Genomic DNA, 21,540 nt, shown 5'->3' with positions numbered 1-21,540 from the left:
TTCTCCAGAGAAACAAAAATCAATGCAATGAATATATAGACATATGAGAGGGGATTTATTAGGGAGATTGGTTCACACAGTTGTGGCTGAGGAGTCCCTTGAGAAGCCGTTTGCAAGGTGGAGTCCCTGAGATGCTGGCAGTGTGGCTTCTCATCTAGTCCACTTGGACTCAAATGCTAATCTCCTCTGGAAATACCCTCAGACAACACCCCAAAATAATGTTTTACCAGGTTTTTAGATATTCTTTAATATAGTCGACTCCTAAAATTAACCATCACAAGCCCACCCCTTGTCAACTTGGCACCTATATATATGCAACTCCTGAAATCATACTTAATTTCCAGATAAGATAATAATAAGGTAATAGTTTCACCTGACAGGATGCAGCTATCCTGCGTACAACCAAAAACACATTAATCCCTGATATAGTTTCGATTTGTGTACTGCCCAAATCTCATGTCAAATTGGAGGAGGGGCTTGGTGGGAAGTAACTGGATCATGGGATGGATTTCCCCCTTGCTGTTCTCATGATAGTGAGTGAGTTCTCACGAGATCTGATGGTTTAAAAGGTGACACTTTCCCCTTCTCTCTCTCTTTCCTGCCACCACGTGAAGAAGGTTCTTGCTTCCCCTTCATCTTCCTCCATGATTGTAAGTTTTCTGAGGCTTCCCAGTCATGCTTCCTGTTAAGCCTGCAGAACTGTTAGTCAATTAAACCTCTTTTCTTCATAAATTACCCAGTCTCAGGTAGTTTTTTACAGTAGTGTGAAAACTGATGAATATAATTCCTTCTTCAGAAAAAGTCCTTGCATGATGTTTACTCTTCTCCTTATATCTCATGACTTAAATACTATGATACAAAATTAACAACACTTAAATACTAATATAAGTTCAGAAAATCTTGTTACATGATAAAAGAATAAGAGAGGAATGAAAATAAAGATCTTTGCTTACTATATGCATCTATACACATGGACATATTCTTAACAAAATAGGGAGGAAATACTCATAACAGTCTGTTTCTGTAACTGGTTACATGGGCATAGCTGGTATTGATAAACTGCCGTCTTCTACTACCCATTCTGTATTCTCTTTGCCTTCGATAAGCACCTCACTGGTCATGATTTTATGTGTGTATGTATATATGTATGTATGTATGTATGTATGTATGTATGTATGTACACATGTATTTATTCTCTGCATCATATGATAGTCATGGTTCTTTATCTGGAGTTACCTAAACCTTCATTCCTGAAGAGCCTGGGCTATTACTTGTCCTGCCTAGATTGGTTTGTTGTAACTTCCAATTGACCTTAATCACAGGGTATGGTAGTACTAAGAGGCACCCTAGGGGATCTTCTGTATTCCAGAAGATCTTCCTTGCCTCCACTATGGAGTAGTAGTCCAATTTCCCATTGGTAGTCTGGATCAGTCACCGCAGCCAACACCGTAACTCCCTGCTTAGCCTGTTGACTCAGAGGCATGAGGAACCCCAAGGGGCCAAGTGGCATCCTTATCTTCTGCTTGAGTGGAATCATTGTTGTGTCTCCTGGCGGAAGCACTCCTCACTCTGGAACTAAGACCTCTAGGCCAGCAGAGCTAACAGTCATGGGAACGGGAAGCAAAAATTTTGCTAGTGGGTCACTAGGAGTAATGGTGAGTAGTGCCATTTCCATTCCTGACCCTTGATTCCTGGACCTGTGAATCCCGGCTATAGGAGAAAGAGCATCATATGTTGGACACTGATTTAGAGCACCTACAACCTTCTGAAGAACCTTGCCTCAGCCTGCAAGGCATTGTCACCTAGCTGGTGCTGTAACTGTGACTTCAAAAGGCCATTTCACTGTTCTACCAAACTGGCTGCTTCAAGGTGATGAAGAACATGGTAAGACTAGTGAATTCCACGAGCATGAGCCCACTGCTGCACTTCTTTGGCTTTGGGTGAATTCCTTGGTCAGAAGCAATGCTGTGCAGAATGCCGTGATGGTTGATAAGGCAATCTATGAGTCCACAGATGGTAGCTGTGGAAGAAGCATATCCATATCCAGAGTGTCTATTCCAGTAAGGAAAAAACACTGCCCCTTTCACAATGAAGGTGCTGCATTGTAATCAACCTGCCACCAGGAGGCTGGCAGATCACCCCAAAGAATGGTGCCATACTGGGGACCCCATGTTGATCTCTGCAGCAGGCAGAGTGGTCACTCAGTGGTGGCTGTAGCCAGGTTGGCATTGGTAAGTAGAAGTCCATGTTGTTGAGCCCATGAACAGCCTCCATCCCTGCCACCATGACCACTTAGATCACGAGTCCATGACAGGGGTGGCTGGGGAAAGAGGCTGACAAATATTCACAGAACAGGTCATTTTCTACCCCTGATTATTTCAGTCCTCCTCTGCTGAGGTCACCCTTTGGTAGGCATTGATATGGAACACAAATATCACTTCCTTTGCCAGCTCAGAGCAGTCTATCCACATACCTCTTCCTCAAATTTCTTTGTCACCAATTTTCTAATCATGTTCCTTCCAAGTCCCTGACCTTCTGGCCAAATCACTGGCTATAGCCCATGAATCAGTATATAATTGCACATCTGGCCATTTCTCCTTCCAAGCAAAGTGCACAACCAGGTACATTGCCCAGTGTTTTGCCCATTGAGAAGATTTCCCTTCACCACTGTCATTCAGGGACATCCCAGAAAGGGGCTATAGTGCTGCAGCTGTCCACTTCCTGGTGGTGCCTACATATCATGCAGAACCACCTATAAAGCAGGTCCTGGTCTTCTCTTCCTCTGGCAAATGACCATGGGGTGCAGGCAAGAGAGAGAAGGCAGCATAGCAGGAGTAGGAACCATAAGTATTTGGGCCACTTCTTCATGTAACTTACTTATGCCTCCAGGACCTTTTCTGGCCCAATCACATATATACACCGCTTCCATTTTATCATAGTGTGCTGCTGTGCATGCCCATCTTTATGGTTTGGTGGGTCAGATCACACCCAGTTCATGATGAGCAGTTCAGATTGCATGGTAACTTGGTGGCCCATAATCAAGTGTTTCATTTCTACTAAGATATAGCAGCAGGCCAAGAGTTGTCTCTCAAAAGGATAGTGGTTACCTGCAGGTAGTGGCCGGGCCTTTCTCAAAAATCCTAAGAGCCTTCACCGTGATTTACCTATAGGGGCCTGCCGAAGGCTCCAAACAGCATCCCTATCGGCCACTGACACCGCAAGCACCACTGGGTCTGCTGGGTCATATGGCCCAAGGGGCAGAGCAGCTTGCCCAGCAGCCTGGATCTATTGCAGAGCCTTCTCCTGTTCTGACACACTCAAAACTAGCAGCTTTTCAGGTCACTTGGTAGATGGGCTGGAGTAACACACCCAAAGGAGAAATGTGTTGCTTACAAAATCCAAATAGTTTCACTAGGCACTTTTTTAATTGTAGGAGGGGCCAGATACAACAACTTATCCTTCACTTCAGAAGGGATATCTTGACATGCCCCATACCACTGGACCCCTAGAAATTTCACTGAGGTAGGAGGCACCTAAATTTTGCTCAATTTATTTCCCATTCTCTGATATACGAATGTCTAACCTATAAGTCCAGAGTGGTTGCTACTTCATGCTCTCTAGGCCCAATCAGCATATTGTCATTGTGAGAAATAAACTTACCCAACCAAACCCAAAGAATGGACTCAGAGACCCAAGGAATAGCAAAAGTGAGACTTTTAATGACAGTCTTGCAAGATTGAGTGTCTGATAAGCAGGCACACCCAGCACAGTTTTAACAAGCACTTTATCCCCTAGTGTGTAGGTCCCTCCCCCGGTTCCCTATAGGCTGAGTACTATGGGTTTACAATCTTCCTGGACATCGCCTATTGATTGTTGGGTAGGGGCTGTAGGTGATTTTTATTAGGGTTGTCTTGCTGCATTTTGTTGCAGCCCACAATGCACTGCAATCCTTGTCAGCTCCCCTGAGCTTATAAGTAAAATACTTAACTCTTTAAGTATTTGACTTATGACCTAAGTAGCTGGGCAGGCTGATAAGAATAGAAAAAGGGAGCTATTTTGCAGGCTAATAAACTTTCATCTTAGACTAAACTTTTTTTGGTTTGGGTGAGGGCAACTAAGGGCTAGGGGGGGCGGGGTGGGCACAACAAGTAGGCATTGGCTATCTAAGCAGGGGCATATTACATCCTGTTTCTTCTGTAGTTTTGCTGACCTAAGCTGATTTAAGGCACTTTGTCTTGGAAATGGATCACTGTATACATAAGTTCCTTCAGTCATCAATATAGTGGACCAGTGTGATATCTTATTGAAGGGAAAAGTGATCAAGATTCCTGAAAACAATTGTGACATAGGCTAGAGAACTGATATACCCCTGAGGTGGGAGAGTGAAGGTATATTGCTAGCCTTGTCAGCTGAAGGCAAACTGCTTCAGGTGGGCCTTCTGGACAAGGATGGAGAAAAAGGCATTTGCCAGATCAATAGCTGCACACCAGGTATCAGGAGATGTGTTAATTTCCTCAAGCAATGAAATCACAACTGGTACAGCTGCTGCAATTGGCGTCACCACTTGGTTAAGCTTATCATAATTCACTGTCATTCTCCAAGAGCTATCTGTCTTCTGCACAGGCCAAATAGGAGAGTTGAAGGTGGGAATCACCATTCCTGCATCTTTCAAGTCCTTGATGGTGGCACTAATCTCTGCAGTCCCTCCAGGTCATGTTTTTGATTTACTATTTTTGTAGGTAGAGATAGCACTAATAGCTTCCATTTACCCTTTTCCATCATAATTGCCTTCACTCCACAGGTCAGGGAGCCAATGTGAGGATTCTGCCAGCTGCTGAGTATGTGTACTCCAATTATGCATCTGGAACTGGGGGAATGACCGCTGGATGGGGTCAGGGACCCCCTGAGTCCACTGTAAATTGGATCTGAGATAAAACTCTATTGATCACCTGACATCCATAAGCCCCACACTAACTGGGGGGCCATGGTGACATTTCAGGTCTCCTGGAATCAATGTCAGTTCAGAGCCAGTGTCCAGTAGTTCCCAAATTGTCTGTTTATTTCCCTCTCCCCAGCACACAGTTACCATGGTAAAAGGCCATAGATCCCTTTAGGGAAAGATGGGAGAAAGATGAACAGTATACGTTCTTTGTAGTCTACCAGAGTCCTTCCTGGAGGGAACCCAGCCTCTCCTTCACCCAAGGGGTTCTGGGTCTATAAACTGGCTCAAGTCTGGGAATTCATTGAGGAGCCACGACTCTCAGTTTTTATGATTTGAGTTGGACTTTTGTGCAGTTGACCTGAAAGTTTTATGCTTATACAGATCAGGTAAGAATTTAGTAGGCTTCCTATCTATTTCACTTTATTTATTTATTTATTTTTATTTTTTTGAGATGGAGTCTCCCTCTGTCACCCAGGCTGGAGTGCAGTGGCGCAATCTTGGCTCACTGCAAGCCATTCTCCTGCCTCAGCCTCTCAAGAAGCTGGGACTATAGGCGCCCGCCACGATGCCCGGCTAATTTTTTTGTATTTTTAGTAGAGATGGGGTTTCACTGTGTTAGCCAGGATGGTCTCTATCTCCTGACCTAGTGATCTGCCCGCCTCGGCCTCCCAAAGTGCTGGGACTACAGGCTTGAGCCACTTTGCCCGACCCTATTTCACTTTTAGAAACACGTGATTAACTAGCCAGTGCCATAGATCTACACGAGTCAGACCATTTTGATTGTTGCTTTGCTCTGCTGTACCTTACAGTAACTACATCCACCTTGCCTTTGACAGTTGAGTGCTGCCACTTGGCCCCTGCCACCCCAGGATCCAATTATCCCCATAGCATTTAAGTTTCCTAATTGAGTGACTGAGGTTCCCACTGTAAAGTCCAGCCTACAGAGAAGAGCAATCGCGGAGCTCTTCAGGGATGCTGGCACTCCCCCCAGAAATCTGTTTCTCAAGGTTTTGGTGAAAGACCAGTCTTCTGGACCCTCCTAGTGTGTGGGAGTTGGTTTTAAGTGACAAATCCACTCTAGCATTCCAGCCTCCCTAAGCCTCTGGATCCCTTCCTTTAAAGTAAACCAAAGGAGATCAGGCATCTCCAACTCAGTCATGGTGGACCATCTTTTGACCCACATTTCAGCCAACCAATAAAACAAACTGAGCCCCTCCCCAAATTCCCTGCGCTGCAGCATTAACTGCAGAATCTCTGCTCAGTGGGTCCATATCAATAAATTCAGTCGGCTCCCTTTATGTCTCTGTTAGTCCATACCCTTAATATCCACTCCCACACATGTTCCCCGAATTTCTGCTTGTATAAATTAGAAAACCAAAGTAGTTCTTTTAGAGTGTAACCACCTCCTCATGGGGCACACTGTGTACCTCACCTGTAGGGGCTGCTGGGACTTCAGTCTAGTTACAGTAGGTCTAGAAGGAAAGAGGGTTGGTGGGGGCGGGTCCAGAGATTCAGCACTGTCTTGCCTGGCAACTGGCTCAGGGGAGGCTGTGAGTCCCATCAGAGTTAATCCCCTCAGGCAGAGGTGGGATTTATTTCTGGGATAGGGGAGGTCACTTTTAGCAAATAAGACTCATCAGAATTTCTGAGCTCAATGTCTCTAGCCTCATCAAGGTCTCCCCACGTTTCCCCATCCCAAATTTCCGCAAAGCTGAGACTCAGCTTTCGCGGTAATTCAGTCAATCGAGGGACAAAGGCTTGTGTTTGATTTTCAGCAATTTCAGCCCTGTGGCTACGGGAGAGAAGATTCTGACCCAGGGCACATGTAGAAACTCAGGTCATTTATGTGAATACCGGAGCTCACCCCTTTCTCTCATCACTTGGTTTAGCCGTGCTAGGAGCAACCAATGAACGTGGCATATTCTTTGGTTTTCCTCAAATGTTCAAACGTATCAGGTATAAAGTCTCTAAATTATTTGCCTTTTATAAGTGGTGAATTAGGAGTATGGATGTATTTATTTTGCATATTTACAAACAGTAAGCACGTGATCTATCAGTGCTCTCTGCGCTATTAGAAGTAGAGTCTCCAGCATTTTTAGTTCTAAACAGGTTAGAGAGCCAATTCCAGAAACTCCAAAACCAAAAATTAAAATTGTTTCCTCTAGAACCACTCCTGGTACCAAAATCTGTATTAGCCAGGGTTCTCCAGAGAGACAGAACTAATAGAATATGCATAGCTAGATAGACACATGGGAAGGGATTTACTTGAGGGTTGGCTCAACCCTTCTAATTAGGGTTGGCTGAGAAGTCCCACAACAGGCCATCTTCAAGCTGAAGACCCTGGCACACTAGCAGCATGGTTCAGTCCAGGTCTGAAGGCTGCAGAACCAGCGAAGGTGTTGGTGAAATTCCCAGTCCGTGGCCAAAGGCCTGAGAACCAGGGGATGGATTGAGGGTGGGGCACTGGTGTAAGTTCTGGAATCCAAAGGCTGACAAGCCTGGAATTGTCCAGGGTCAGGAGAGGCAGGGTGTATCCCAGTTCCAGCAGACAGATCGACACAGTCACCTTTCCTGTTTTTGTCGTGTCTGGGTCCCCAGCAGATCGGATGTTGCCCATGCACACTGAGGGTGAACCTTCTCCACCTAATTCACTCAGGCTCAAATGCTAAATTCCTCTGGAAGGATATACTCCAAAATACTACACTACCAAGTTTTTAGGTATTCCTTAATCCTGTCAAGTTGGCACCTCAAATTAACCATCACAATGTAGGTGACTGGCTAAATAAACTGTGGTACCTCCGGACAATAAAATGCTATTCAGCGCTAAAAGGAAATGAACTATCAACTCATGAAAAGCCTGGGAAGAACCTTAAATGTGTATTATTAAGTGAAAGAAGCCAATCTGAAAAAGCTACATATTATATGATTCCAACCACATGACATTCTAGAAAAGGCAAAACTATGGAGACAGTAAAAAAATCAGTGGTTGCCAGGTTCACAGGGAGGGAGAATAAATGGATGGATCACAGAGGATGCTTAGGGCAGTAAAACCATTCTATATGACACGGCCATGGTGGATACATGTCATATATCTGTCCAAATGCATAGAATGTACAACACCAAGAGTGAGCCCCAACACAGACTATGGACTCTGGGTGATGATGACGTGTAGGATAATGAGAGTGGGGAGGCTGTGTGTGTGTAGGGTTAAGGGGCATATGGGAAATCTCTCTACCTTCCACTCAATTTTGCTGTGAATTTAAAATGCCCTAAAATAAAGTCTCTCTTAAACAAAAAAAAAGGAGGGGGTGATGGTGTGTGCACATCCCCAAGCTCAGGACTCTGTGCTGGTCTTCTAAGCCTAGGCTCACCCTTCCCCATCTGCTCTCCTGGGGGCCAACGGAGTGGCCCAACACACATCTAAGCATCTACAGGGCTCAAAAGCTTCAGCAGCTCTTCACCCCTCCTAGGAGAAAACCCAAACCCTTGGGCATGGCATGGGGCATCCTTCACGGTGTGGCTCGCATTTAGCTGATGGGCCTTTCCCATCTCACGTCCCATGCTGTCACATGAGAAGGTATTTATTGGGGGGTTGGCTCAACCCCTCTAATTAGGGTGGGCTGAGAAGTCCCACAACAGGCCTCAGTTTCCCCACTCCCTGACCTACTTCCCTGTACCCCAGAGACTCTGAACTTTGCCCATTACACAGGTCCAAGACAATGTCAGTTTCTCTTGTAGACTGAATTTTAAGTCCGAGATTTTTCTTGAGCTCATGTGCTCCAGTCCAGATTCTTTCCATAAAAGAACATGACAGGTGATGCCCTGGCAACCTGCAAGTCCCTCGGGTGGTCATGGTGGTCCAGGGAAAGGAGGCCTCCTTTAACATATGGGAGAATAGCCGGGCACAGAAAAGTTATGTAAGAGCATATCTTTTTAAAGCATACCTTTTAAACATTGTGAAAATTTGTCCAAAGACAAGGTAAAATGTCAGAGGCATCAGAGGATGTAAGCATTAAGAGATAAATAAAATGTAAACCCATGGGACAAACCTGAATTCTTCAGAGCAAGAGACAGACTTCTAACACACAGCATAGGGGAGAATGGGCCTCAGGGTGTGGCAACACCTCAACACTATTTCCTAACAGTTGAAGAAGACAATCAGGGGAGGTTTTCCTAGGAGAGGAGTTTTGAATGCACGTGAATCTGGCTCACTTTAGATAAACATACCTCTGAGAATTTTTATTTATTTTGTTTTCACATCTACACTTATTTAATTTTCCAAAACTAAAATATAACCTCTTTTCCAATCACTAAATAAATGTGATCACTGTATTATAAAAACAATTGAACAATGCACAAGAGTATTTTTTTTAAAGTCAAACTGAAGTGCTATCACATTTTCGTGGCTGTCCCATGGCGTAAACCCTTCTCTGTGTCTATGCAATTTTACACAAATCACACTATAAATGATATTTAAAAACATATAGCTTTTTTTTTTTTTTTTGAGACAGGGTCTCATTCTGTCATCTAAGCTGGAGTGTAGTGGCACAATCATGGTGGCCTTGCCCTCCTGAGCTCGAGGGATCCTCCTGCCTCAGCCTCCCCAGTAGCTAGGACTACAGTCACAAGCCATCACATCTGGCTTTAGTTTTTAGCAGAGCCAGGGTCTCACGATGTTGCCCAGGTTGGTCTCGAACTCCTGGGCTCAAGTGATCCTCCCACCTCAGCCTCTCAGAGTGCTGGGATTACAGACACGAGCTGCCGTGTCCTGTGATTCCTTGTTTCTTTTCTTCCTACTCCTCCCCTTTTCTGTACCCACTTTCACTCTATGCCTCTATGCAGTCTTTGTGACCTGCAGTGTGTCTGCACACACCTTTGTCCCTGTACCCACAATTACAGATGAGCAAGTGTGCACAGGTGCAATGTGCAAGCGCATCTTGCTCTTCTCTCTTACCAATGCGGGGTGGAAATCCCTCCCTGCCAGCCTGCGAGGTCTGATGAATATCTCCCAGGGGCTGCAGACTGCTCCATGATGCAGATGCAGAATCAATCTCTTTTCAATCTTTCCCTGTTGACAGGCCTTGCCATTATAAATTTAGTGTTTTATTTTTTGCCGCAATAAACATCCTTGTATATATATCCTTACTTATTTGCCCCAAAATGAGGGCTGAGAGTTCTTTTTCTTCCTAGGCCCTTGAGCAGGATCGGCCACATAGTAAGTTATCAATATCAGTGAAATGGTATATACACGAATAGCCATTCATTCTCCAAGCATTTTGATGTGTGTTTTCTCTTTGTACTTGGGCCCTGAAAGGAAGATTCAGAAGAAGGAAGTCATGCAGCCTGCACCCCTTGCTGGCCTCAGCCAGAAACAAACTCCCAGGTGCTTCTCTGACAGGCACTTCCTGACCCCACAGCATCTGACCTTCTTCTCCAGCCACCTCCTATGCTCTGCTGTGCTCCTCCTGGATCTACTCCTGGCCCATCTTCACCTCAAGGTGCCAGATGCAGCCACACACCAATGCCTCTCAGAGACCCACAGAGAGCTCTGTAGGGGATACTCCATGGAGTCATAGTAGGTCAAAGGCAGAACATCCTGAAATGGTGATTTACAACCTTTTCTTCATGAGCTACAATATGCACGACCAGAAGAGAACTCCATGATGTCAGCGACCCCACAGGGGTTAGCAACGATGAAGGATAAAACAGAGAATGTATTTCTGTGTCCATTTGCCTCAGAACAAGCAGAGGAGGAGAGAGGGGTGATGAATCTTGAGGAGGAAAACATATCACTGAGAAAAACCAAATGACCTGTTGGCCCGCCCTTTGGAGCCTTGAGAGGAAGAAAGCCCTGCTCAGCCCAAACATCTCACACTCACAGGCCTCTCTGAATACCCTGGGGACATATGACCTACTTCCCTGAGAACATGTCATAACAGTGAGTCTTTGGATCACTGCCAAACCCCATTCCTGTAGAGGAAGGTGACACACGCTCCATACATCAGCTTCCTTTGAAGCATGGCATTCATTGTTTGTGACATTTGTTCTGAGACAGAGGCCTCCTCAAAGGAGAGCCCAGAGCAGACAGTAAGACACAGGTGTCCACAGGCAAGGAGCCCAAAGTCTGGCTGGCATGTTGCCTTGGGCTTCAGATATGAGGTCAGGCACAGAGGCCTTTTCTCCTCTACCTGCTTGCCCTGGAAGATTCTCCACATTGAGTTGCCAGTTCCGCAAGTCACCCCTCTCACCCCCATGTATGAATGTTGCTACAGCAGCACAACTAAGCAGGGAATGATCTTAAAGACTGTCTAATCCCAGATCCATATTCACTCTTTAGTCCAATAACTTCGAAAACCAACCAGGTACTGGGCACTGCACTAAGCTCTGGATGTGCAGGGGAAGGGTGAGGAAGCTGGAGGGTCTTTCCTGAGGTCCAATGAAGGAGATAGGCTTATAAACAGATCCATGCCACAAGGCACTCCTGGCCCATGACAGTCACAACGATCCATCCCTAGCCTTCTCTTCCTTTCCCCCATTATTTTGATAGAAGGTGCCACCATCCCCCCAGCTGTCCAGCCCACTGGGGGTCACTCTAGATGCCGCCCTCTTTTTCCCCACACATCTAAAGAACAGTCACTGATTCCTGATCTTCAGGCTTTCTAAAAATGTGTGGAATCTGCCCACTCTCTCCATCTCATTGCCACCTACCTAATTTTATGCCACTATCTTCTTTCACTGCAACAACCCCCTAGCTAGTCTCTTGCTTCCAGTCTTGTACCTACACCAGCCTGCTATCCACGTGGAGCCACAGAGATCTTTCAAATACACAGTTCCATTTGTCACTCTCCTGCTCAATCTCCTCAAATGACCTTCTATTATGTGCAAAATCCTTATAGGGCCTTCATGATCCAGTTTCTGCCTACTTTTCTAACCTCACTAACCTATCCATCCATCTATCCACCCATCCATCCATCCACTTATCCATCCATCCATTTATCCATCCATCCACCCATCCATCCATCCATCCATCCATCCATCCATCCATCCATCCATCCGTCTGTCCATGTATCCATCCATCTGTCCATCCATCCATCCACTTATCCATGCATGCATCCATCCATCCATCCATCCATCCATCCACATATCCATCCATCTGTCCATCGTCCATCCATCCATCCACCCACCCACCATTTAGCCATTCAATCAATATTTATCAAGTACCTCCCAGAGGTGCTCATCCATCCCTGACTATCATGCTGCATGTGACACAACAGCTGTGGTCTTCCTCTTAATTCTCAGTCCTACTTTATACCCCAGTTCTGGTCCCTGGATTCTTATCAGGCCCTCTGAGCAGTAATATTCCCTGGACTTCAGTCCTTCCAGCAGCAGAACCATGATTTGCTGCCACTCTCCACCCTGGCCGAAAGTCAAAGCTTGGCCATTGGCTGACTCACATCCCTGACAGGAGCAACTTTGTGTGCCCTTAGGTTCTGTCGTGCACAAATGCCCCACTTGTTGGGCCAACACTATTGCTTCTAATTAGACTTCCCAGCCCCAATGCCCATAGGAACTACTTCCTCCTCCTTCCACCCAGAGTCCACAGCCAGGTCAACCCACACACACTCATACACCATGCCCAATACTGCCACCCCAGCAGTGGGCACGGTCATTCCAGTCTGCCTGTCCAGCTCGTGAGGAACAGGCCTCCTTAGCTCTGTTCTGAGACTAGCAAATGTGAGGCTGGGAAGGTCTGGAATTAAGAGAGTTTGGAGAAGACCAATAAAATCCCCTTGGGAAGTGCTGACCAACTGCAGAATAAAGTGGCTGAGTCTCTCCAATACCATCTGCCTGAGCAAATGAAATCAGAGTCACCTCAGCTGCCCTGGAAGCCTCCTGCGCATTCCAGGCAGCAGAACTTCTGGGGCTTGGGGTGTTGGTGGGTGGAGCTTCCCCATGACCACCGCATTGTCTCACTGTGGGTGGGGTCTTCACCGACCTTCCTTCAACCTAGACTCAGAGGCTCAGGTAGCCGTCTCCCTCCTGCATGGGAGAAGACGACGGGAAAGTTCTCGCATGCACAGACAAAGAGCTGCAGGAACTCATGGAGCCCCAGTGCCTTCCAGGCTGGTGGCAGAGACACTCTAGGAGAGGATTAGCAACCTACTCCTCAACTCGAGGGTTACAGGGAGTGTGAGAGACTGGCAGCCAGGCAAGTTTGGGGGTTCCTTATAAATAATTTTAAAAATCATCTTGAAACAATCCAGATTTTTAGAGATGAACAAATACCACTGTGACGCTCAGAAAAACAAATTTATGAAAAGTTGCTATCGACAAGAGCACTTTTTACTCTGAACTACACATTTAGGAATGATTTCCTTACATGACCTCTGGAGTTTAAACAGTCTTACTGTTTTCATTAGACAGGATGTGTGGATGTCTGGCAGAGCTGGGAAGAGAAGAATAAAACACATGAAAACAGTGTTGGTGTTTCCATGAGATCAAAGAGATAAGAAAGTCACCGGTTTCCTGGCCCACGTGATTAAAATTGCTTCCGAGTCTCAACAGTGCCATGGTTTTATGATAACAGATGCGGCCCTGAAATTCCTGCTCTTGTATGAGTTTTTTAAATTGTGGTAATGTACGTGTAAAATGAAATTGAACATTTCAACCCTTTTTGAGTGTACAGTTCAGGGGCATTACGTGCATTTACACTGCTGTGCAACCATCATCACTACCTCGCCCCAGTACTTCTTCCTCTTCCCAAACTGAAACTCTGTCCCTCTTAAACATAACCCTCCATCCCTCTCTCTCCAGCCCCTGACACCCACCATTCAACTTTCTGTCTCTACAAATTTGACTACTCTAGGGACCTCATGTGAGTGGAATCATACAGTATTTGTCTGTGTGTAACTGGCTTATTCCACTCAGTACGTCTTCCAGGTTCATCCGTGTTGCAGCAAATGAGAGGAGCTCCTTCCTTTTTAGGACGGAACAGCATTCCATTGCATGTATGACCACATTTTGGTTATTCATTCATCCCTTGATGGACATTTTGTAGGATTTGGTTTTTAACCTAAAGACAAAGGATCAAGTTGAGTGCCCACAAAGGCATAGCTTTGTTAGTTGATTTGCTTTATAAATCGAGGATGTCGTACAATTTAAAGAAAAACATACTTTAAAAATTTCATTTTAGACAGGTTGATGAACAGCACCCAAACCTCTGATCACCTTTCCTCAACATTCTTCCGTTTCTGATAGTGATTAGAGCCTCAGTTTGCTAGCAGATGGAGACAGATTCCTTGGTTCCCTGTGCTTAAACCATCTACCTGGATATCACAGCTCTCCTTCTGTTTCTCTCATTCTCATTTCTCTGACATCGTGGTCTCCAGCTTCCTTCCATGGCAAGTGACACTCGAAATGCTCTTGACTGGACTATAGGAGGCTTGCCCTGCATTTCAGGGGAGGCTGACCTATTTTTTTTTTTCTATGAGATAAAAAGACATTCAGCTCTGCAGATAAACATCAATATTTTGCCTGTTTTCTTTGCCTTTTCCCTTACCAGTGACACAGTCTGGGCCACACTGATGAGATCAAGGGTTGCCCAACTTCTCACTGGTGGCTCTGCCCTGGGCCCAGCCCTCACCTGTCCCCTACTCTGCAAATCAGAGTGAGGGATTCGGGGTTTGTGGCCACAAACCAAGGAAGCCTGGATGTACAGATCAAGGCTTCAGGAGCATCAGTGGGAGCTTTAGTGAGATGGAGGGGGTGGGAGTTGTATTGTAGAAAGAGCAGGGGAATGGAGATCTGGAAGTAAATAAAAAACCAAGAATGGTTATTTCTTTTATCAATCAAGGTGGAAAACTGGCTGTCCAGAAACCAAGTGCGGCTAGGAAATGGCTCCTATTTAGCCTACCTGGTGTAAGATTTGTTTACATTCATTGTTTATATTTTTAAATTGTAGCATTTCACACAAAAATCTAGGTGCTCAGCTTCTCTTGAAAAATCAGAAGACGTGCTCCTGTGAGCCCACAGCGGGCTGAGCCTGAGCAGGGCACCCCTGTGGCCGGGATAGGTGTTGCTCCCCTCGGCTCAGGCCCACCTGGCTCCCCTGGCTCATGTATGATGACACCTGCCTGACTCTTGCATTTGTGACACCTCCTGGGGCTACTGTGTCAGGGCCCAGAACAGAATGGACCCTCAATAAATAGGTGTTGCTCCCACAATTGCTAAATGGCAGCTGTTCAGCAATGCTGACATGGGGAAGGAGTAGGCAGAGGGGAAGTTTAATCTGAAGTTCTTGATTCTAACATTTGGAGAAATAGCCCTGCCAGCCCAGTGGCAGTGACCTTGACCTCAGATGCCACAGGGCCTCCACCTCCCACCAGGCAGGGAAGACTCACTCCACTGCTCTTCTCCATCCCAGGCGGCCTGCATGTGGTTAGCACATCATTCTCCAGGACACAGTACATCTGGGACAAGACCCTGCCCTGCCAGCTTGGTGCCTCCTGCCCTGCTTGCCGTTCTGCTCTGCATGGACTCACTGGGGGAACCTTTCTTGTCTTCAAGCATTTTCTGGACACTACCTGCCTGAGTGCACTGAGGGTGCAGATGAGAAGGTACAACCCTGCCTGCAGGAAAGTCATAGTCTCCTAGGGGACACAGACAAATGAACTGGGTCACAGCACCTTGGGACGAATGTCAAGGCAGACAACAGGCAGCTGGGTGCAATGGTGTAAGCCTGTAATCCCTACTACTCGGGAGGCTGAGGTGGGAGGATAGCTTGAGCCTGTGAGTTCAAGGCTAGCTTGGGCAACAGAGCAAGACCCTGTCTCAAGAAACGATGGACAATAGGCCTAGAACTTTACTCTGTCTCCTGACACTAAGACATCCATCTGGGACTCAGCTGTGTGTTCAGTGCCTGGCACCAAGCCTGCCCAGCAGCAGAGGTGCAGCAACACCTGATGAAGGAAGGAATGTGCTGGGTGCAGGGGAAGCAGGGGGACTCTGCCAGTGCAGGACAGAAAAGAAGTCCCTGGGGGCTTCCCAGAGGAAGGCAACTTGAATGAGAGGTGCATGCAGGGGACCAGCCCGGTGCACAGGTGTGGTCCATCAGGAAGGCTGTGAGCCTGCAGTACCTCAGGGATGGTGGGATGTGAGCTGTCCTAGGGGTTGGCTGGGCTCTGGTAGAACCCTCATTCACTGGGCTAGGCAGACTGGATTATTGTATGAAGGAGACGAGGAGCTTCTGGGGTGTTTATTCAAGGAAATGCCAAAGTCAGAGCAGAGTGTTTAGAGAGAGGTCCTGGGATGGGTGTATAGGATGGGCAAGAACCTCAGCTGGGTGAAGCTGTCAGCCACCTCAGGCAGCTGGCATCCTCTTGCCTCTTCCTGTCTCCTGCCTCCACCTGCTCACATCTGCCTGCACCTGCCCGCACCTGGCTCCTCTTACCTCATCTTGCCTCCTCCTGCCTCTACCTGCCTCCATCTGCCCACATCTGTCTGTACCTGCCTGCACCTGCCTCTTCCTGTCTATTCCTGCCTCCACCCGCCCACATCTGCCTGCGCCTGCCCTCACCTGCCTCCTCCTGTCTCCTCCTGCCTCCACCTGCCTACATCTGCCTGCATCTGCCCTCACCTGCTTCCTCCTGTCTCCTCCTGCCTCCACCTGCCCACATCTGCCTGCACCTGCCCTCACCTGCTTCTTCCTGTCTCCTCCTGCCTCCACCTGCCCACATCTGCCTGCACCTGCCCACACCTGCCTCCTCCTGCCTCTCCTTCCAGAGCCTATCTCTTCCTTCTGCTCATCTTGGCCCTGCCCCTGCTGGGCTCAGCTGGGGCCCACTTGCCCTAAAAGCCCTACCCGGAAGCCTTGGCTCATCCTGACCATGTGGAAGAGCAACCCAACTCCTTGGGTTGCTCTTTCAATTTCTGTGTATCAGAACTAGACTGGAACATGTTTTTTTTTCTCCATGTATCCTCCAGCACACCTGCACCAAACTGGCCCTTCAGATTTGTGCCCAAATTGCTAACGACAGTGAAGAATCCTGTGTTTGGGCCTCTGGCTTGTTTTTATTCTGGAATAACTAGACTTAAAATGTGAGATCCCTGTTTGAAAAGTCACATACTTCATTCATCTTCCAAAGATGAAAACTAATATGCACTCGTGTTTGCCACAGCAGAATGGGAAGTTTGCTACAGCAGAACGGGAAGTTTTAAAAGTAAAGCATGATGAAAAACCAGAGGATTCCAAGATGAATTCTTTAACTGCGGGAATGATTCCCTTTTATTAGTAAGAAGAAAAATTTCTCAAGTCATGTTACTGAAAAAGCTATAACATGAACCACAAATGATTTCACTTGCTGAAACGTCTGGAAAAGGATTTCAATGGCATGTTATGCTATTTAAATGTAATGAATGATGAGGGTTAGTTCATATTCTTTGTTCAGAAAGGCATTCATAAAATTTTTTTCAAAGGGAGGGAAAAATGTAACTGTAGTGGCCAGCTTTGCATGCTGGGTTCCTTGCGTTCTTCAGCGAAGATCTGGTAACACACATCCAAATTTACTCCAATGCAGAGTGCCCTGCTTCAGCGAAGATCTGGTAACACACATCCAAACTGATTCCAACGCAGAGCGCCCTGGGATTGTCAGGGTCCAGGCAGGGTCAGAGAAGAGAGACCTGGGTCCTGAGGATGAAGATATTGCCTGCTGGCAATCTCTACTCTAAGAAAGGTGACTGGCACTGCTGCTATTTAACCAATTCCAGGTAGTTACAATAGCATTGATACTAATTTTATCAATTTACACACTCCAAATCTGTAGCAAAAAAATATATATATTAAGAAGTAATATCGATGTGAAATATGCCTTAAAGCTATAAAAAGTAATATCAATTCTAAAAATGTTTTGAATTGAAGAAAATACAAACTTATTTTTTAAAAAAAGTCAATTTTTGTTTATTCTGTCTCCCCAAAATTGCCCAAGCTAGCCTTGTACTCACAGGCTCAAGCGATCCTCCCACCTCAGCCTCCTAAGTAGCAGGAATCACAGGCTCACACCACTGCACCCAGCTGCCTGTCGTTTGCCTTGACACTCCTCCCAAGGTGCTGGGACAGGGTGAGCTGAGCCCACCCTGTCAGCTCACTTGTCTATGTCTCCTAGGAGACTATAACTTTTTTTCTAATTGTTGACTCTATCCAACAATTAGAGTCCTGACTGATCAGTGAGAGCTCCCTGATTGGAAACAAAGAGTGTTTCAGTGACACAGCACACTCCCCCTAATTAAGGGGCTGCTATGCTGGCTCCTTTACAACGATTATCTCATTCAGTGATCTTTTTTATTTCTGTCAACTCCCTTCACAGGAAAGAAACTGGGTCCCCAGTACACAAGAGATTTTCCACACAGTCGTGGCAGCACTTGGCAAGAGGCAAGGTCTCCTGTGACCTTTAAGTCACATCACACCCTAATTGACTGCCATCCTGAAATATAAGGAATAAATATTTTCCTTCTTTCTTTTTTTAAAAAATGTGAGAGAGCGTTACCTACTTGAATTATTCTTACACCTTTATGAATATATCCAGGTCACACGCCACAGAGATTACACACATGCATGTACACACACACACACACACCCCTTACGAGTAGCTTATTTTACTTTTATTTTTTTAAGACAGAGTCTCGCTTTGCCTCCCAGGCTTGAGGGCAGTGGTGTGATCTCAGCTCACTGCAACCTCAGCCTCCTGGGTTCAAGCGATCCTTCCACCTCAGCCTCCCAAGTAGCTGTAATTACAGGCATGTGCCACCACGCCCATCTAATTTTTGTATTTTTAGTAGAGATGGGGTTTCACCATGTTGGCCAGGCTGGTCTCAAACTCCTGACCTCAAGTGATCTGCCTGCCTTGACCTCCCAAAGTGCTGGGATTACAGGCATGAGCCACCACGCCCAGCCACAAGTAGCTTATTTTAAAAAGTATAAGCAAAAAAATTCCCCCTTTTCTCTACCGAGATATTGATCCTACCTGGATCAGAAACAACCCTGGGGCCTCTGTTTCTTCATGTGTAAAATGCCATCCCTGGTGTGGGTAATCACTAGAACCTCCTTCCAGCTCAGAAAATTCAGGATTCATATTGTCAATTCCACTCATGGTTTAATTTGGGCAAGTGTGGAGTTGCAAATCACCTGATTTTCAACAATTCCAGTATGAGTGGATGGTACAGAGTACTGGAGAGGAATTTTAATCAAGTGACTCATGAAGAGATGCCCTTTTTTTCTTCCTAGGGGAGGAAGAGATGCAGATTTATAAAAAGCCATTATCATGTGAATAAATACAAGTTAAGCCACATTCTTGAAGGCTTGATGCCATGAATAAAATGATGCAGCTAGGTCACTGGCATCAACACCTTCACCTTGGATTTATTTATTGTCCAGGCATTTTCAGGAGTGAGAATCTCAGAGTTAGATCTGCAGGGAATGGAACTGCCTATGGAGCGAGAAGGACTGAGATTGGGGGTGTTGTAGAGTCTCAGATCTCAACATCCATATCGATTCCTAGACAGGCCACCTTCACTGCAGCAAGAGTCTTTAATAAGGCCCTTTAGAGAGCAACAGCAACAAACAGCCATGTTTAAACTAAATTAGAATTAAAAATCCTCAGCTACTTGCCAACTAGACCATCCTCCAGGGGACGATGGTACTAAATATTCAGTGAGTCAGGATGGGAGGTTCTGGTGGGGGGTGGGTCACAACATCCACGAGCCCCGGGTTTCAGCCTCTCCAATAGAGTTACTACCATTAGAATAATTCATGACACCTCTCAGCCCCACGGACTCTCTGTAAAATGGGACAACGCTTCCCTTATGGGATTACTGCAAGGGGGAAGCTGGGGATGCTGGAAGGCTTCGTGATTCTAGAGCCAGATTCTCTAGAGCCAGGAGAGCCCAGGGCACCACCTTCTACCCCTATCTGAAGACCCCTGTGGAGTGGGCTGTCACTTCCAGACAGAAGCAGGTTGAGGCCCTGGAAATTCTGTGTCAGAAAGAAAGGCAAGGACCAGCGGTCCAGGCAAGCCCAGACATAGAAAATACACACTATTAATTAATACCATAACATCTATTCATAACATCTACAACATAAACAGCTCAAATTATGTCAAGTTCCAAAGTACCAAAATATGTTTTTATTAAAAAAACCAGCCCCCAAATCCATACCCATTTATGAAACATGACATAACCTTTGCTGTGGGGTTGCCTCTCCCATGCTGTGGTGAATGATGTTTGTAGCTAGTGGTTTTGTCTTTTTAAAGTGTAAGATAGAAAATGGCACTGTCCCCCTTTACAAGATGACATCAACCCCTGGGATATCTTACAAATGGAGAGTGACTTCCAGATTTTAATAAGAAATGAAAGTTGTATCCCATTTGATGAATGAAGGGCTAGGCCACAGCTTGGAGACGCAGAGACGGTTTTTCCTATGCAGAATGCTTTGCCGTGAAAGGAGAGTGCATCCCAGAAGCTGCATGCCTGAGCTCAGAGGCAATCGTCACCTGCACATTAGGAAGGCACCTGAGGTGAGAGCAGAGGGAAGAAGGCCTCGATGGCAGACCCAGAGAAATCGCTGTATTTGCTTCACAGTTAGAGGAAGGAATCATGCAGCTCTGAGGCGTAGTCTAAATGTTTGACCCCTTTGCATCACCCCTTCCGGAAGCTTCTACCTTATGGTGGACTTCAGGTGGAGGGGTCCCTGTGAATGTCTGGGTTTGTAGCAGTGCTTGATGTGCCTGGGCACTGAGGGGACACGGCAGCCCTCAGGGAGGGACTGTTCAAAGACTGATGCCCCCAGCACAACCCTGGGAAGGAACAGGAAGCGTCATCAAGCCAGGGTACTCCGCAGAAGAGGTCAGAGAACGTGCCCTCGGGTGGAGACAGGGTCCTGCCAGGGAGATGAAAGGGTCCCCGCGGGAAGAAAGGGGAGCAAAGGATGGAGTTGCAGGGCCCAGATGCCCTCAGGCTGGGAGGAGCTGAGTCACAAACAGCTGTCCACAGAGTGGCCAGCTGCATGGAGACACAGTGGACATCCATCACCAATCTGGGAAAGGACAAGAAGGATCGGTTGCCCCTGGTAATGGGATTCAAGCCTGGGATGTGGGTTGGGCTGAAATGATCTCACACGCCCACCAGCGCTAGAGCCTGAGATGCCCCGGGGTTGATTTTGGTCACAAAAGCTCTGCTTACTCCTGACGCAACCGCATCCTGCCGCCAGCAAAGGCCACGTTTGCACCACGGGAGCTGGAAGCCCCGGCAGCCTGGGCAGTGGGAGGGGCAGAGAGCGGGCTAAGGAAGAAGCAGGGTGGAGCCCGGAGCCCACACCCGACAGACTCAGAGGGGACTGCTGGGGGAGACAGCACTGTCAGTCACGCGTCCTGGTGCCAGCCTCTCCATGGAAACGGGAGGAGAGAAGGGCAAACACAGATGGGAGCACCTGCTAAGAAAAGGGTTTGCAAATGCCACAGAGGTATGTAGAGGCACGGACAGGGATTGGGGAGGAGTGGAGGCTATGCTCATAGCGGGGGCCCCAAACGTCAGCAGCCCTTTCTTCACAG

At 46.8% G+C, this 21,540-nt stretch overlaps 1 protein-coding gene across 12 annotated transcripts in view, besides 1 other annotated feature; it reads right to left on the bottom strand.

Annotated features, from left to right (window-relative positions):
- PTPRE (protein tyrosine phosphatase receptor type E) overlaps positions 1-21,540 on the bottom strand; it is a 178,753-nt gene that overhangs the window by 129,389 nt on the left and 27,824 nt on the right. The gene's annotated exons all lie outside the window — the stretch shown is intronic.
- Positions 20,655-21,394: an enhancer, noted in NCBI's record as "H3K4me1 hESC enhancer chr10:129733337-129734076 (GRCh37/hg19 assembly coordinates)". NCBI's record gives its function as "activates a minimal SCP1, AML or CMV promoter by ChIP-STARR-seq in naive H9 embryonic stem cells {active_cell/tissue: H9 hESC(naive)}" and the evidence as "EXISTENCE:reporter gene assay evidence [ECO:0000049][PMID:30033119]".

The sequence above is a fragment of the Homo sapiens genome, chromosome 10 (assembly GCF_000001405.40).
Source record: "Homo sapiens chromosome 10, GRCh38.p14 Primary Assembly".
In the NCBI taxonomy this organism is placed as follows: domain Eukaryota; kingdom Metazoa; phylum Chordata; class Mammalia; order Primates; family Hominidae; genus Homo; species Homo sapiens.
The sequence above is the reverse complement of the archived record's forward strand: the minus strand, read 5'-3'. Positions and strand labels throughout refer to the sequence as shown.